General features: G+C 46.5%; 1 pseudogene; it reads left to right on the top strand.

Moving 5' to 3' along the window:
- PPP1R26P3 (protein phosphatase 1 regulatory subunit 26 pseudogene 3) lies at window positions 3,748-6,113 on the top strand (annotated as a pseudogene).
- The last annotated feature ends 10,202 nt before the right edge of the window (window positions 6,114-16,315 follow it).

Below are 16,315 nucleotides of genomic sequence, written 5' to 3'. Positions count from 1 at the left end.
AAAGACATGAAGATCTACAAATTGCCTGACAAAGAATTCAAATAATCATCTTAGGGTGACATCAGCAAGATGGCAGAACAGGAGGCCCTCCACTCACCTCTCCCCACACAAACAATGATCTGGCAGCCATTCATGGACAAAACTGCCTTTGCAAGAGTTTTAATATCCAGGCAGGAGGTGGCAAAACTCTAGCAAAGCCCAAAACCAAGGAGAGCTGCTTTGAGAAGGCAGGTCCACACACCAGTGACAGGTTACCAGTTGCAGACTGAAAGCAGCTTTGTCCTCCTATGGACTTGGGTCCAGCTCCACTAGATCATGGTCTTGCAACTAGCCCCATCCACTAAGCACCTAGGAGGAACCATGACCATTTATGCCCCCAGTAACAGGCCTTCTAACCATGGTCCTGACTGCAGAAACTAAAGCAGCCCTGACCTGGCTTCAGCCCCACTCTACCACAGTCAGTCATGCCTGCCCAGGAATTCAGTGATGCCTTTACATACCCTTGGTAACAGGCCTGCTGATCTCAGTCTCAGCTATGGACACTAAAGTAGCCCTGTGACTCCATTCCAGTCTTGCTTTGCCACAGTCTGGGCACAGTCCAGCCCATCCTGGGACCTGGTGAAAGACATACCATCCATTCTCCTAATAAGAGGACCACCAATCTTGAACTCAAATGTGGTCACCAAAGCTGTCCTGTGACTTGGCTCTAGCCCTGCTCTACTGTGGTCTGGAGGCAGTCCTGTCTTCCCATGGACCTACCTAGTAAACCAGCAGGAGCTCAATCTGGGACCCACAGGGAGCTATACCAGTCCATGCCCTTGGTAATAGGCCTGATATCTGAAGACTTGACTGTAGAACTAGAAGTGGCCCCATGACCTGGCTCCAGTCCTGTTCAATCAGGGTATCAGAGGCAGTCCAGTTCTCCTGAGGATCCAGCAGAAACTGCATCACCAACCTATGCCTTGATAGCGGCCTGCCAATCAGAGATTCAGCTGCAGACCAGGCAGCAGCCATGTAATATGGCTCCAGGCCCACTTGACTGTGATCCAGTCAAGGGATCCAGCAGGAAAAGGTTTGTACCTGCTGAAACCAATCTATAAAGACAGAAAGAGATTGGGCATGGTGGCTCACACCTGTAATCCCAGCACTTTGGGAGGCCAAGGCGGGCAGACCACTTGAGGCCAGGAGTTTGAGACCAGCCTGGACAACACGGTGAAACTCTGTCTCTACAAAAAATACAAAAAAATTAGCCAGGCGTGGTGGCACATGCCTGTGATCCCAGCTGCTTGGGAGGCTGAGGCAGGAGAATCATTTGAACCTGGGAGGTGGAGGTTACAGTGAGCTGAGATCACACCACTGCACTCCAGCTGGGTGACAGAGCAAGACTCTGTCTCAAAAAAAAAAAAAAAAAAAAAAAAAAAGAAGAGGTATTTGCTTCTTCATAGACATTAATGAAAGTCTGTAGATCATGAAGAATCAGCAAATATGACACTACCAAAATAAACTCATAAATCTCCAGTAATCAACCCCCCAAAAATAGAGATCTACAAATTGCCTGACAATTCAAAATAATTAAGATAGCTCAGTGAAATTTACTAGAATGTATATATCAACTCAATAATATCAAGAAAATAGTAGATGAGCAAAGCTAAAAGTTCAATAAAGATACAGAAATAATAAGAACCAAACAGAAATTCTAGAACTGAAGAATACAATGAATAAAATGAAAATGCAAGCTGGGTGCCGTGGCGGACGCCTGTAATCCCAGCACTTTGGGAGGCCGAGGCAGGCGGATCACTTGAGGTCAAGAGTTCAAGACCAGCCTGGCCAACATGCCAAAACCCCATCTGTATTAAAAATACAAAAATTAGCCAGGCATGGTGGCATATGCCTGTAATCCTAGCTACTAGGGAGGCTGAGGCAGGAGAATCGCTTGAACCGGGAGGTGGAAGTTGGAGTAAGCCAAGATGGCACCACTGCATTCAAGCCTGGGTGACACAGACTCTGTCTCAAAAATATATAAAAATAAATAAATGAATGAAATGAAAATGCAATAGAGAATTTCAATTGCAGACTTGATCAAACAGAAGAAAGAATCTGTGAAATTAAAGACAGGACATTTGAAATATCCCGTCAGAAGACCAGAAAGAAAAAAAAGTTTATAAGTAAAAACCTTTGGGATTTATAGGACACCACCATGAAGTGGGTCAAACATATTATGGACTTCCTAGAAGTAAAAAAGATAGAAAAGGCCTGAAAGTATATTTGAAGACATAATGGGTAAAAACTTTCCAAATTCTTAGAGGCAAGTGGGCTTCCAGACACATGAAGTTCAGAGGCCCCAAAAAAGGCCAGCCCAAAGACCATAATACCAAGATGTATTATAATTAAAATATCAAAAGTCAAAGACAGAGACTTTCAAAAGCAGCAAGAAGAAAGGAATTCATCACATACAAGGAAACTTCAATAAGGCTATCAGTGGATTTCTCAGCAGAAACCTTATAAGCCAGGAGAGAATAGGATGCTATATTCAATGTATTGGAAGAAAAAAACTGCCAATCAGGAAGACCACAACTTGTAAAGCTGTCCTTCAGAAATGAAAAAGAGATGATAAGGTCTTTCCCAGACTCCCACCAAAAAAATTCTAAGGGAGTTCATCACCACTGCACCTGCCTTATAAGGCAGTTTTTCAAGTTGAAATAAAAGGATTCTGATTAGCAACATTAAAACATTAAGATATTAAGTTCACAGGTAGGCCGGGCGCAGTGGCTCACGCCTGTAATCCCAGCACTTTGGGAGGCCAAGGCGGGTGGATCACAAGGTCAGAAGAGGGGGATCATGCTGGCTAACACGGTGAAACCCCGTCTCTACTAAAAATACAAAAAATTAGCCAGGCGTGGTGGCGGGTGCCTGTAGTCCCAGCTACTCGGGAGGCGGAGGCAGGAGAATGACTTGAACCCGGGAGGCAGAGCTTGCAGTGAGCCGAGATCATGGACACTGCCCTCCAGCCTGGGCGACAGAGCGAGACTCTGTCTCAAAAAAAAAAGTTCACAGGGAAAGGTAAGTATATAGTCACATTCATAACACTGTAATATTGCAGTGGTGGTGTGTAAATCACTTTTCACTGTAGTATAAAAGTTAAAATGTAAAAGTATTAGGCGGCCCGGGAGCGGGGCAGCTGCTGCGGGGAGGCGGGGAGGCGGGGGGCCTGGCCGGACACCCCTGCGCCCCCTCCCCGCACCCGGGCGGAGGGCGGCCTCTTCCCCCTCCCCCTCCCCCACCACCCCCGGCAGCCGCCTCCCCCAGGACGCAGGAGGCGGGCGGAGGCCGGGTCCGCGCAGCGGGCGACTTGCGGCATGGGCCGGGTCGAGGTGGGGGGGCGGTTTCGGGGGCTGGGAAGCTGGGGTGCCGGGGACAGGAGGGTGGGGGAGCTGGGGAAAGGAGGGCTGGGGGGCCGGGGACAGGAGGGCCATGCAGGCAGTGGCAAGCGGGCGGCGAGGGCTCCGTGGGGCAGGTGGACGGGGATCAGCGCCTGGGGCTGCTCCGTTCCCCAGGCGGGTGTCGTGGCTCTGGCCTCCATGCAACTCCAGGTCTGCGCGCCCCGCGCTGCTGGAGCCCCAGTCAAAAGTCTATTTAAAAAGCAGAGAGAGGATGCTTCCCTCTGAGTGGAGCGATGAAGACCTGATCCCTGGGCCATTTGGGAACACTAGCTGCCTTTCATCACAGTCAACCTGGACTCAGAGAATGTCAAGAGCTTGTTGGTTGGGTCAAGAATGAATCTAGGCATGACGTCATAGTTTATAGTCATCCTTTTAAACCTGCAAAGAAGCATTTGCAGGTTTAAAGTTATTTCACGGGTACTGCTTGCCAATCTTTGGAGGATGTGAAGCCTGCAGAGAAATAAAGTGTCGCCCCTCTGCGCGTCGCTCCCCATCTGCCAGAATGTTTCTCATGAATGCTCCTCCAGTGGTTGCTCTCCAGCCCAAATGGGAGGCCTCTGTCCCGCCAGGGAGCTTTAGGTTCCCCGGGTGCTTCTCGGAGGCTGACAAGGGCGTGGAGAGCATGTCGGTGAGCACCCGGGTGCAGATGCTCATCAGCACGCTGCAGAGCGACAGGGCTGCTAGGGGCACCAGCGATGAGCGCACTGCGCAGAGGGGGCAGAGGGATGCCACGACGCCAGGCCTGCTGCCAAGCCCACCATGCACAAGGAGCTGCCTGCGTTGGCTGCCTGTGGTCTTGTTGCTGACTTTGACCCCGTGGGGGAGGAGGAAACTGCAGACTTTGGCCCATTGGTGCTAGATTCAGACAGTGACGATTCCGTGGACCGGGACATTGAGGAGGCCATCCAGGAGTACCTGAAGGTAAAGAGTGGAGCGGCACAGCCCGGGGCCAGCGGGGCCCAGCCATGCACAGCCTTCCAGGGCTGCGGGCGGAGGCAGTAGATGTAAGCGGGAACTGGCTCACAGCAGTGCCCAACTGCCCTGTGTTCCCCAAAACTTGTACCTGGCTCAGGTGGTGTGGCCCTGGCAGCCAGGTGGGATCCAGCAAGGACCAGGGCTCTGCCTCCCCAGTCAGCATGAGCAGAGCAGACTCCTTTGAGCAGAGCATCAGGGCAGAAATAGAACAGTTTCTGAATGAGAAAAGACAGCATGAGACCCAAAAATGTGATGGGTCAGTGGAGAAGAAACCAGACACACATGAAAATTCGGCGAAGTCACTCTCGAAATCCCACCAAGAGCCGGCTACAAAGGTGGTGCACCGGCAGGGCCTGATGGGCGTCCAGAAGGAGTTCGCCTTCTGCAGACCTCCCCCGGTTAGCAAAGACAAACGTGCAGCCCAGAAGCCTCAGGTCCAAGGTCACGACCACGACCACGCAGGAGAAGGAGGGCAGCACAAAGCCAGCAACCCCCACCGCCCTTCAGAAGCAGTACAGAATAAAAGTGGGATTAAAAGGAGCGCCAGCACCGCAAGGAGGGGAAAGCGAGTCACGAGCGCCGTACAGGCTCCCGAGGCGTCCGACTCCAGCAGCGACGACGGCATTGAGGAGGCCATCCAGCTGTACCAGGTGCAGAAAACACACAAGGAGGCCGACGGGGACCCGCCCCAGAGGGTCCAGCTCCAAGAGGAAAGAGCACCTGCCCCTCCCGCACACAGCACAAGCAGCGCCACAAAAAGTGCCTTGCCAGAGACCCACAGGAAAACACCCAGCAAGAAGAAGCCAGTGCCCACCAAGACCACGGACCCTGGTCCAGGGGATCTGGACGCTGACCATTCCCCCAAGATCCCAAAGGAAACCAAAGCTCCACCTCCAACGAGCCCGGCTTCCAGGAGCAAGTTTGTGGAATGGTCCTCTTGCCAGGCAGACACCTCCGCTGAGCTGATGTGTGTAGAAGCAGTCCTGGACATTTTCAAGACGATCCTGCCGGCCCTATGGAGGGCAGCGATGGGTCCCTGTCCGCAAGCCCACTCTTCTACTCCCCCAACGTGCCTTCCCGCTCTGATGGTGACAGTAGCTCCGTGGACAGCGACGACAGCATTGAGCAGGAAATCTGGACGTTTTTGGCCCTCAAGGTGCAGTCTAGAAGTTTGCTGGCCAGAGGTGAGAGCTGCCCTCAGGCTGCCCAGGGCCCACTTTCACCACCTGGCCTCAGCAGCCAGACCGGCAGCCCCAAGGCCCCTCTCTCTAAAACACTGGACCCACTCCTGGCTGCAAAAGGAAGCATAGAGGCGGCTGCCAAGTGAGGCCATCCACTCCCAAGAACATGCGGGTGGTGGGGAAAGAGGGTGGCCAGGATGCCGACCGCAGCCAGGGGAGAGCCGGGCCCGGCCATGAGGGGCGGGACCTTTCCATCCAGGGCACAGCCAGCGAGGCCCCGGGATGGGAGGGCGCCGCTAGGGTGGGACCTTTCCATCCAGGGCACAGCCAGCGAGGCCCCGGGAGGAGAGGGCGCCGCTAGGGTGCCCGGTGACACTCGCACGTCACAGGGCCAGGGTAAGACAGACGAGGCAAGGCACCTAGACAAGAAGAAGAGCTCCGAAGACAAAAGCAGTTCCCTGGACAGTGACAAGGACCTGGACACAGCCATCAAGGACTTGTTAAGGTCCAAGTGAAAGCTCAAGAAGAGGTCCAGGGAGCCCAGGGCTGTGTGCAGGAAGAAGGTCAGGTTCAGCACCTCCCAGACGCACTTCCAGGAGCGGCTGGGCAGGCTCCTGAGAGAGTGGAAAAACAGGCACCTGCAGGTGCTGAAGAGCTGCCTAAGTCCAAGAGAGACAGCTGCGAGGGCTCCAGGAAGAAACCCCCCAGTGTCTTTGGCAGCAGGGCCGAGAGGACGAAGCCCCGGCCTTCCTGGTGAGGAGACCCGCTTCTGCCTCCGCCTCCGAAGAGAATCTATTCCCCAGAGAGTCCCAGGGCCCAGCTCCCAGCCCTGGCTCCTTGTCTGACAACAGCAGTTCAGTGGACAGCGACGATAGCATCGAACTGGAGATTAGGAAGTTTTTGGTGGAAAAGGCCAAGGAGTCGGTGAGCAGTTCAGAAGTTCAGGCAGAGGGCCCCACCGCTCTCGGGACAGGGGGCCCAGCCAGGCCAGAGGTACCTTGCAGGAAGGAGCCGGCCCCACTGCCTGGCATGTGCACACGGAGCCAGAGGGCCGGGGGGTCCCACATTTGGCTAAAGGGCATCGAGGCGCAGGGAGCGCAGGAGCACAGGGCGCAGCGTGCCTGCTCAGCCAGGGTGGGAAGGGGCTCCCCACTGATCCGGCGGAGGGGATCATGCGCCACCCAGGAGGACCAGCGGCAGTGTCTCCGCCAAGGTCTCTCAGTGAGCAAGAGAAGTGTTTACGTTTACAAAGACCAGAGCCCACGAGGGGCTGAGCCTGCTGCCAAAAGTGCTTTTGGTCAGCGGCCCAGCTGTGCCACAGCGGGCACCGAGGCAGGAGGAGCCAGGGGGACCTTTCACGTGGACTGCAGGAACCGGAGCTTCCTGACCCCCAGCCCGGGAGCTGAGAGGGATGCTGGAGCCCAGGCCAACCGCGCCCCGCCCTGGAGTGACTTTGCCCACCACAGTCGGCTGCCCAGCCCATGGGCACTGCGCTCCAAAGGTAGAGATGCGGCGTGGAGGGGGCGGCATTGGGAGAGAGAGACAAGGGGTCCGAGGGCCCCGCCCGGGGCCTGCCCAGCCTGCCCCTTGCGGGCTTCTCCCCGCTGCTGTCCACCCAGCTCTTCCACTTTGGAAAGGGTGTCTCCTGGGGGGGCAGGGAGACCGGCCTCTTCAGCCCCTACCTGGGGCTGCCTCTGCAGGGCCTGTCCTTCTCGGCCTTCAGGGAGTCCCAGGCCAGGCCCAGCCTTGTCTTTGGAAGCCCACACTTGCTGGCGAAGAAGGACTGCGATCACCGGCCAAGCAGGAAGGTACAGACGGGGCTGAGTTTGCACAACAGGAAGAGCTCTGGCTCGGAGGAAAGGATTTTAGACCTGAGGTATCCACGAAGGGTCAATCAGTAGAGTTGACCAGGACCAGGACACCTTGGGCAGGGACACCAGTGATTTCAGCAACACCTCCGCAGAGGTGTTGCTGCTGCAGTGGCGGCAGCTCAGTAGTGAAGGTATAAGACCTCGAGCTGTGGGTTCGCGTCCTGGGTTCCATGCATTCGTGGAAAGCGGCATAGCTGACGTGTATCTGTGCCTGTGTGTGATGGTTCTGTGGTTGCAGGGAGGGGAAACAGTCTGTTATACATAGTCTTGTATATATGTATACCAACACGAAACAATGCTTTTATTTAACAGATGTGTCCTGGTAAATATGATTTTTGTAGATTTTGTACATTATTTAAAGTGATGAAAAATGTTTTTGGAAAATACTGTTGGTCAATTTTGTAGGGTGTTCCTTAACTGCAGTTTTCTGTGTTCTGCATACAAGTCTTAGATTAGAAAACATTTGGTTTTTATCATCACAACCAGGTTTACAGGGACTCTGATGTTTTTTGGTTGGTTGCTGGTGAGAATGGCCAGCGCTGGCTGCAGGGGTAGCCTTAGGAAGGCCGAGGTGCCCTCCCCAGGAATCGCTCACATGCCCCAAAGTGTCCGTCAGGAAGTTCCTGGGACAGCACTTTTTATACAGAGGACACCCCCCCACCACCGCCTGGCTTCATGGTCCTTGGAGGCCAGAGCACATCTGAAAACTACAGGAACGGAAAACCAAACTCCGCATGTTCTCACTCATAAGTGGGAGTTGAACAATGAGAACACTTGGACACAGGGCAGGGAATATCACACACTGAGGCCTGTTGGGGGATGGGGGCAAGGGGAGAGATAGTATTAGGAGAAGTACCTAATGTAAATGATGGGTTGATGGGTGCAGCAAACCACCATGGCACATGTATACCTAAGTAATAAACCTGCACTTTCTGCACGGCTACCCCAGAACTTAAAGTATAATTAAAAAAAAAAAAAAAACAGGAAAAAATAAGTAGAGATTAAACCAGTAATGAAAAATCTCCCAACAAAGAAAATCCCAGGACCAAATGGTTTTACTGGTCAATTTCAACAAACATTTAAAGAATTAATAACAATCCTTCTCAAACTCTTCCAAAAAAATTGAAGAAAAGGGAACACGTTGAAACTCATTCTAAGAGGCCAGCATTATCCTGATATCAATGCCAGATAAGAACACTACAAAATAAGAAAACTATAGGTCAATATCCCTGGTTAACATAGATGCAAAAATCCTCAATGAAATACTAGTAAACCAAATTCAACAGTGCATTAAAAGAATTATTCACCATGAATCCAGTCTCTACCAAAAATCCAAAAAAAAAAAAAATTAGCTGAGCATGCTGGCGGGTGCCTGTGGTCCCAGCTACTAGGGAGGCTGAGGCAGGAGAATGGCGTGAACTTGGGAGGCGGAGCTTGTAGTGAGCCGAGATCGCGCCACTGCACTCAGGCCTGGATGACAGAGCGAGACTCCATCTCAAAAAAATAAATAAATAATAAATAAATAAAAAACAAAAAAAGAATTATTCACCAGGATCAAGTGGGATTTATCTCTGGCATGCAAGGATGCTTTAACATACAAGAGTCACTAAATGTGATACACCACATCAACACAATAAACGATAAAAATCCTTTATTTTTATTATTAAAAAGCACTTGATAAAATTCAACATCCTTTCATGATTAAAAAAAACAACAAACTGAGCAAATTAGGTGCAGAAGGAATGTACCTCAACATAATGAAGACCACATGTAACATACTCAACAGTGAAAGACTGAACGTTTTTCCTCGAAGATGAAGAACAAGACAAGAATTCCTACTCTCACCATTTCTCCTCAAAATAGGACTGGAAGTCCTAGCCAGAACAATTAAGCAAGTAAAGAAATAAGAATGGAAGTAAAATGGTCTCCATAGATGACATATTTTTATGTATAGAAAACTGTAAAGACTTCACTAAAAGACTGTTAGAAGTAATAAATTCAATAAAGTAGCAAGATACAGAGTCAACATCCAAAAATCAGTTGCATTTCTATGCATAGATGGACTGGAGGGCATTATGTTAAGTAAAATAAGCCAGACACAGAAAGTGAAATGTTGTACAATCTCACTTATGTGTGGAACCTAAAGACGTCAAACTCAGAAGAAGAGAACAGAATGGTGGTTGCTGGGAGCTGGGGAAGAGAAGGAAATGGGAAGTTGATGGTTAAAGTGTACAAATTTCAGTTATGCAAGATAAGTAAGTTCTGGAGAGCTATACAGCATAGTACCCACAGAAAATGTTACTATATTCTTAAATTGTTTAATTAAAAACTTTTATTATTATTATTTTTTTTTAGACAGATTTTCACTCTTGTTGCTAAGGCTGGAGTGCAATGGTGCTGTCTCGGCTCACTGCAACCTCCACCTCCCAGGTTCAAGAGATTCTCCCACCTCAGCCTCCCAGTACTTTGCTCAGATTATAGGTACCCGCCACCACGCCCAGCTAATTTTTGTATTTATAGTAGAGATGGGGTTTTGCCATCTTAGCCAGGCTGCTCTCCAACTCCTGATCTCAGGTGATCCGCCTGCCTCAGCCTCCCAAAGTGCTGGGATTACAGGCGTGAGCCACCGCACCTGGCCATTAAAAACATTTTTTTTATACAATAATAATAATAAAGAGGCAGAAGGAAATTTTAAAAGGTGATGGATATGTTTATAGGCTTGATGATAATGGTTTTATGGTGTAAATTTATCAAGATGTGTACGTTAAATATGTACAGTTTTTATGTAAATCATTCCTCAACAAAATGGTTTAAAAAGTAATAAAGTAATTACTGATAAGGGGGGACTTACTTCTGGCATTTTGCTATACATTTTCTATATGCCTTACAGCATTTTTGTCCATTTCCTGCATGATCTCATTTGTATTTAGTTGATTTTTTGTAGCGAAGTGTTTTAATTCCCTTCTCATTTACTTTTTTATGTTATATAATGTTTTATTTGTGGTTACCATAGGGATTACACTTAACATTCTAAAGTTATAGCACTCTAACTTGAATTCATACCAGCTATATTTCAATAATATGCAAAAATTCTCCTCACAGTTTTGCCACTCCTCTTTCAGTTATCAATGTCACAAAATTACATTTTTGTACATTGTGTGTCCATAAACATAAACTAATAATTGTTTTTAATGCATTTGTCTATTAAATTATGTAGAAAGCAAAACATGGAGTTTTAAACCAAAGTTACGATAATACTAGATTTAATATTTTCCCATATATTTACTTTTACTGGCATCTTTATTTCTTCATATGGCTTTGAGTTACTATCTAGTGTTCTTTCTTTTCAACCTGCATGATTCTCTTTAAGATTTCTTGCAGGGCAGGTCTAATGGTAGCAAACTTCTCAACTTTGGTTTATTTGGGGATTTCCCAATTTCTTCCTCACTTTTGAAGGACAGTTTTGCTGGATATAGGATTCTTGGTTGAGAGGTAGTGGTTGTTTTTCTTTTAGCCCTTTACATATGTCATCCCATTGTCTTCTGTTCTCCAAAGTGTCTGATGAGAAATCTACTTATAATCCTATTATATATTCCTAGCATGTGACTAGTTGCTTCTCTCTTGGTGCTTTCAAGAGGCCCTACTGGCTAATTATAATGTCTCAGTATGAGTCTTTTTTTTTTCATCCTACTTGGAGTCCATTGAGTTTTCTGGATATTTATTTTCATGTCTTTCATCAAATTTGGGAAGTGTTCAGCTTTTTTTTTTTCTTTTTTGAGACAGAGTCTCGCTCTGTTGCCCAGGCTAGAGTACAGTGGTGTGATCTTGGCTCACTGCAACCTCTGCCTCCTGGATTCAAGCGATTCTTCTGCCTCAGCCTCCTGAGTAGCTGGGACTACAGGTACGTGCCACCACGCCCAGCTAATTTTTTTTTTTTTAAACGGAGTTTCACTCTTGTTGCCCAGGCTGGAGGGCAATGGCACAATCTCGGCTCACTGCAACATCTGCCTCCTGGGTTCAAGCGATTCTCTTGCCTCATCCTCCCAAGTAGCTGGGATTACAGGCATGCACCACCACACCTGGCTAATTTTGTGTTTTTAGTAGAGACGGGGTTTCACCATATTGGCCAGGCTGGTCTCGAACTCCTAACCTTGTGATCCACCCACCTTGGCCTCCCAAAGTGCTGGGATTACAGGTGTGAGTCACCGTGTTCAGCCTCAGCCATTATTTCTTCAAATGATCTCTCTGCCCCTTTCCCTCTCTTCTTTTGGGACTTCCACAATGTCTGCTTGCTATTCAACAATCGTCTTTATTTCTGTTCCTCTGACTTGATCATTTCAAGTGTCCCATCTTCAAATTCACTGAATCTTTCTTCTGTTGCTCAAATCTGCTTTTGAATCCCTCTGGTGAACTTTTATTTCAATCACTACACTTTTAGTTCCAGAATTTATTTATTTTTTTTCTTTTTAGGTTTTCTATCTCTTTATTGATATTCCCATTTTGTTTACACATAATTTTACTGACTTTCTCCACATCTTCCTTCAGTTCTTTGACCATCTTTAAGAAAGTTGTTTTAAAGTATTTGTGTAGTAGGTTACCATCTGGTCTTTCTCTGGAACAGTTTCTGTTGTTGTTTTTCCTTTGAAATACCATATTTTCTTGTTTTTTGTATGCCTTGTGTTTTGTATTGAAAACTGGACACTTGAATATAATAATGCAGTAACTCTGGAGATGAGACTCTCCTCTTCCTCAGGGTTTGCTGTTTTAGGGTTTTGTTATGTTTTACATTGTTGTAGGTTGTCTCCATGCTGAGGATCAACCTGAGTTGTAAGCTTGAGGTCTTCTCAGGTCTGAAGCTGCTCCTTTCCCTGGGCACACACTCCTCTCTCCAAGGATGTGTGGTAACTTTAATTTCCTCTGGGTATGCCATTGCTTTTGAGTGTCCTAGTCTTTAATGTTTGGCTCCCAAAAAAGGAAAAGAGAACAATGAAGGGGAAGGGAAATGGGGTTCTGGCCTTTTCTATCTCCTAGAAGTTGCTTCAGTCTGGTAAGGGCTTGCAGCAGTGGAGTGGGGAGTTGTGAGCAATAATGGCTGCCGGCCTCTGTGTTTGCCCTTCCATAATCAAAAGTAGCAATCAACAACCAGAACGCAGATGCTAACACTTGGAGGACAGAGTGCTTATTGCCCATGATTGTTCCCACAAGCTTGGTACAAGCTGCTTCAGGAACACATGCAAAGCTTCTTGCCGTGAAGCTGGGGCATGGGGATTGGGTAGCCACTGCTGAGCTAAGAGCTGAAATTGACCAAAATTAAGTAAAAATTATAGTTTAAGCCTTCATTTGGAGGTTACAAGCCTCCTTTGATAGAGTCTAGAGTTCCAAAATAGTTATATCAGGCAGATTCTGCCAGTGTGATTATTTTCTAGGTGGGGAGATGAATTCCCAGTGCTTCCTACTCCACTTTCTTCCCAGAACCCTCTCTTGTAATAGTTTTTTACTTAAAATCTATTTTGTCTATACTTTTTTTTCCATATATTTACTTTTTATTGAATTTGTTAACGTTACAGAGTTCTTGCACTGCCAAACCATGCCTGAGAATTCAAACAAATGGTACAATGGACAGCCTCATCCACCCATCATACAGTATATTAAAACTTGATTCATCTATATTTTGATATTTTCACAATCTTTTAAAAAGTTATAATAAGAGCTGGAATTTAAATCTGCTGCAGGTCTTCAGATTTTGAGTACAGTATGCCTTTACATAACACCTCCACTTACTCATCTCTGTTCATTCTTCAGTAACATAAACCCCAACAACTTGTACAGCCATAACTTGTACAGCCATTCCTGATCTGTTTTGGTTACTTTTTGCACGGAATATTCTCCATTCTCTCATTTTTCAACCCATTTGTATTGGATTTCAAATGAGTCTCTTGTAGACAGCATATATAGTTGAATCCCGTTTTTTTAAATCCAATCAGCCAATTTATGTCTTTTTATTGGGAGTTTAACCTATGCACATTTAATGAAATTATTGATTAGGAAGGACTTACTACCACCATTTTGGTCATTGTTTTCTGTATGTTTAGAGCCTTTTTGTCCTTCTTTCCTCCCTTATTGTCTTCCTTTGTGTTATAGTTGATTTTTTGTAGTGCTATGCTCTGATTTCCTTCTCATTTCCTTTTGCATATATTCTGTAGGTATTTTCTTTGTGGTTACTATGGGAATTACATGGAACATCTTAAAGTTATCTTATTATTTTAAACAGATAACTTCAATCACATACAAAACCTCTACTCTTTACATCTTTGCCCCACTATTAAGTTACTGATGTCACAAATTAAACTTTATATACTTTGTATCCATTAACATAGATTTATAATTATTATGCTTTTGTCCTTTAAATTCCATTAAAGTATTAAAAATTGAGTTATTAGCAAAAATTACAATAATACAGGTTTTAATCTTTATGTATTTACCTTTATATTTTCATCAGGCTGAGCAACTGTCTAGTATCCCTTCATATCAACTTGAAGGACTCCCTTTATTGTTTCTTTTTTTTTTTTTTGAGATGAAGTCTCGCTCCGTTGCCCAGACTGGAGTGCAGTGGTGTGATCTCAGCTCACTGCAACCTCTACCTCCCGGGTACAAGTGATTCTCCTGCCTCAGCCTCCTGAGTAGCTAGGATTACAGGTGCGTGCCACCACACCCAGCTAATTTTTGTATTTTTATTAGAGATGGGGTTTCGCCATGTTGGTCAAGCTGGTCTTGAACACCTGACCTCAGGTGATCCACCTGCCTCGGCTCCCGAAAGTGCTGGGATTACAGACATGAGCCACTGTGCCCGGCCCCTTTATTATTTCTTATTGGTCAGGTCTAGTGGTAATAAACTCCTTCAGCTTTTATTTATCTGGGAATGTCTTAATTTCTCCTTCACTTTTGAAGGACAGTTTTGTCAAATATAGTATTCTCAGTTGGCAGGCTTTACTCTTTCAGTACTTTCAATGTATCATCCCACCACCTTCTGGCCTGCAGGGTTTCTGCTGAAATATCCACTGATAATCTTCTAGAGGCTCCCTTGCACATGAGAAGTCACTTTTCTCTTGCTGCTTTTAAGGTTCTCTCTATACTTACTACCACTAAATTCTACACTTAAAAATGGTATAATCTGTTATGTATATTTTGCCACAATAAAAACATCGGAAAGAGGTACCATAGAAGAGTATATTACATGCACCATAGGCTGGAAAACATTTTCAGAGATTAGGCTATTCTCAGTAACTCACATATCTAGTTCTGGTAAACACTGATTGATTTAAACAAATATCAATGAACAAAGTATTACATGCACCGCGTGCAGCTAAACAGTGTTTCGCTGACATAACACTAGTACCTAGATCTGATAAACTATCTAAACAGGCATCACTGAAACTATACTACAGAAAACACAGAATGCTAACCACAGTATTTCCAAGAGTCTACGCTACACCTAGGCAATCTTGCACCTATCTCTGTTAAACACAGGGTTTGAACTTGGAACAACAAAGAATGTAGTACCTGCACCACACACTTCTTAAAACAGGGTTTTGGCCGGGTGTGGTGGCTCACGCCTGTAATTCCAGCACTTTGGGAGGCTGAGGCAGGAGGATCACCTGAGGTCAGGAGCTCGAGACCAGCCTGGCCAACATGGTGAAACCCCGTCTCTACTAAAAATACAAAAATTAGCTGGGTGTGGTGGCAGACGCCCGTAATCCCAGCTACTCAGGAGGCTGAGGCAGGAGAATCGCTTGAACCTGGGAGGCAGAGGTTGCAGTGATCCGAGACCACACCATTGCACTCCAGCCTGGGTTGCAAGAGCAAAACTCCATCTCAAAATAAATAAATAAATAAATAAACAGGGTTTCATAGGGAAAACACTATGCTAAGTCATTCACAAACCTATTTCTAATAAACACAGATAGTGAACATGCATTAAAGAAGGCTATCTTAGATGAGCCACACCCTGCTAAACACATCGATTCTCAAAGATAATGCAAGGCTCATTCACTCATGGTAGACCTAACTGTTAAACTTAACATTTAAATATGTATCACAGAAGATGGTAGTACCTGAACCTCATGCTTCTAAATGGAATGCTTCACCAAGGCAGCATTATTCTCAATCACTCATGCATCTGCCTCACTTCAGTACGGAGCAAATATGTATCAGTGAGCAATGTGCCACGTGCGCTATACACGGCCAAACACAGTGGCTCATACAGTTAACACAAGGTGTGGTCAATCACTGACAGAATGGGAATGAGGAATGTGTCCCACTCTCTCAGCTGTTGTATTATATCATACAAGGTGCAGTGACTAAGTTCATTCATGAACCCAGCTCTCTTAAACACAGAAATTAAACACATATATGGGATACAGCACACAGTGTGATTTGTGTCTGCATCTCCCTCGTGCATGTTGTATATTTCATATAATGTAGGTACAAAATGTAACTTTGGTCTTCACCCGCATCAGCTATCATCTATCACAGGTTACATAGCGACATAATACAACTCAGTTCTGCATCCCCCTCTGCTATCATATGGTATCATGTGTGACAATGTGACCCGAGGTGAGTAATGACTATCCCCTCTCACCTGCTGTATGGTGTCATAAGTGACATTTGTGACTCACATACACTGTGAATCAGGCCTGCAACCCTTCTGTCAGTTGTTGCATGATACTGTATGTGCCATAGTGACATAATGCAACTGAGGTCTGGGCTCCTTGATGTCATATAATATCATAAGTGACATGGTGTGAACAAGGCTGCCTCCCCCTCTTGGGTTATCATTGGCTATCATATA

The sequence above is a fragment of the Homo sapiens genome, chromosome 22 (assembly GCF_000001405.40).
Source record: "Homo sapiens chromosome 22, GRCh38.p14 Primary Assembly".
NCBI lineage: Eukaryota > Metazoa > Chordata > Mammalia > Primates > Hominidae > Homo > Homo sapiens.
This window is presented reverse-complemented; position numbering and strand designations above follow the sequence as displayed.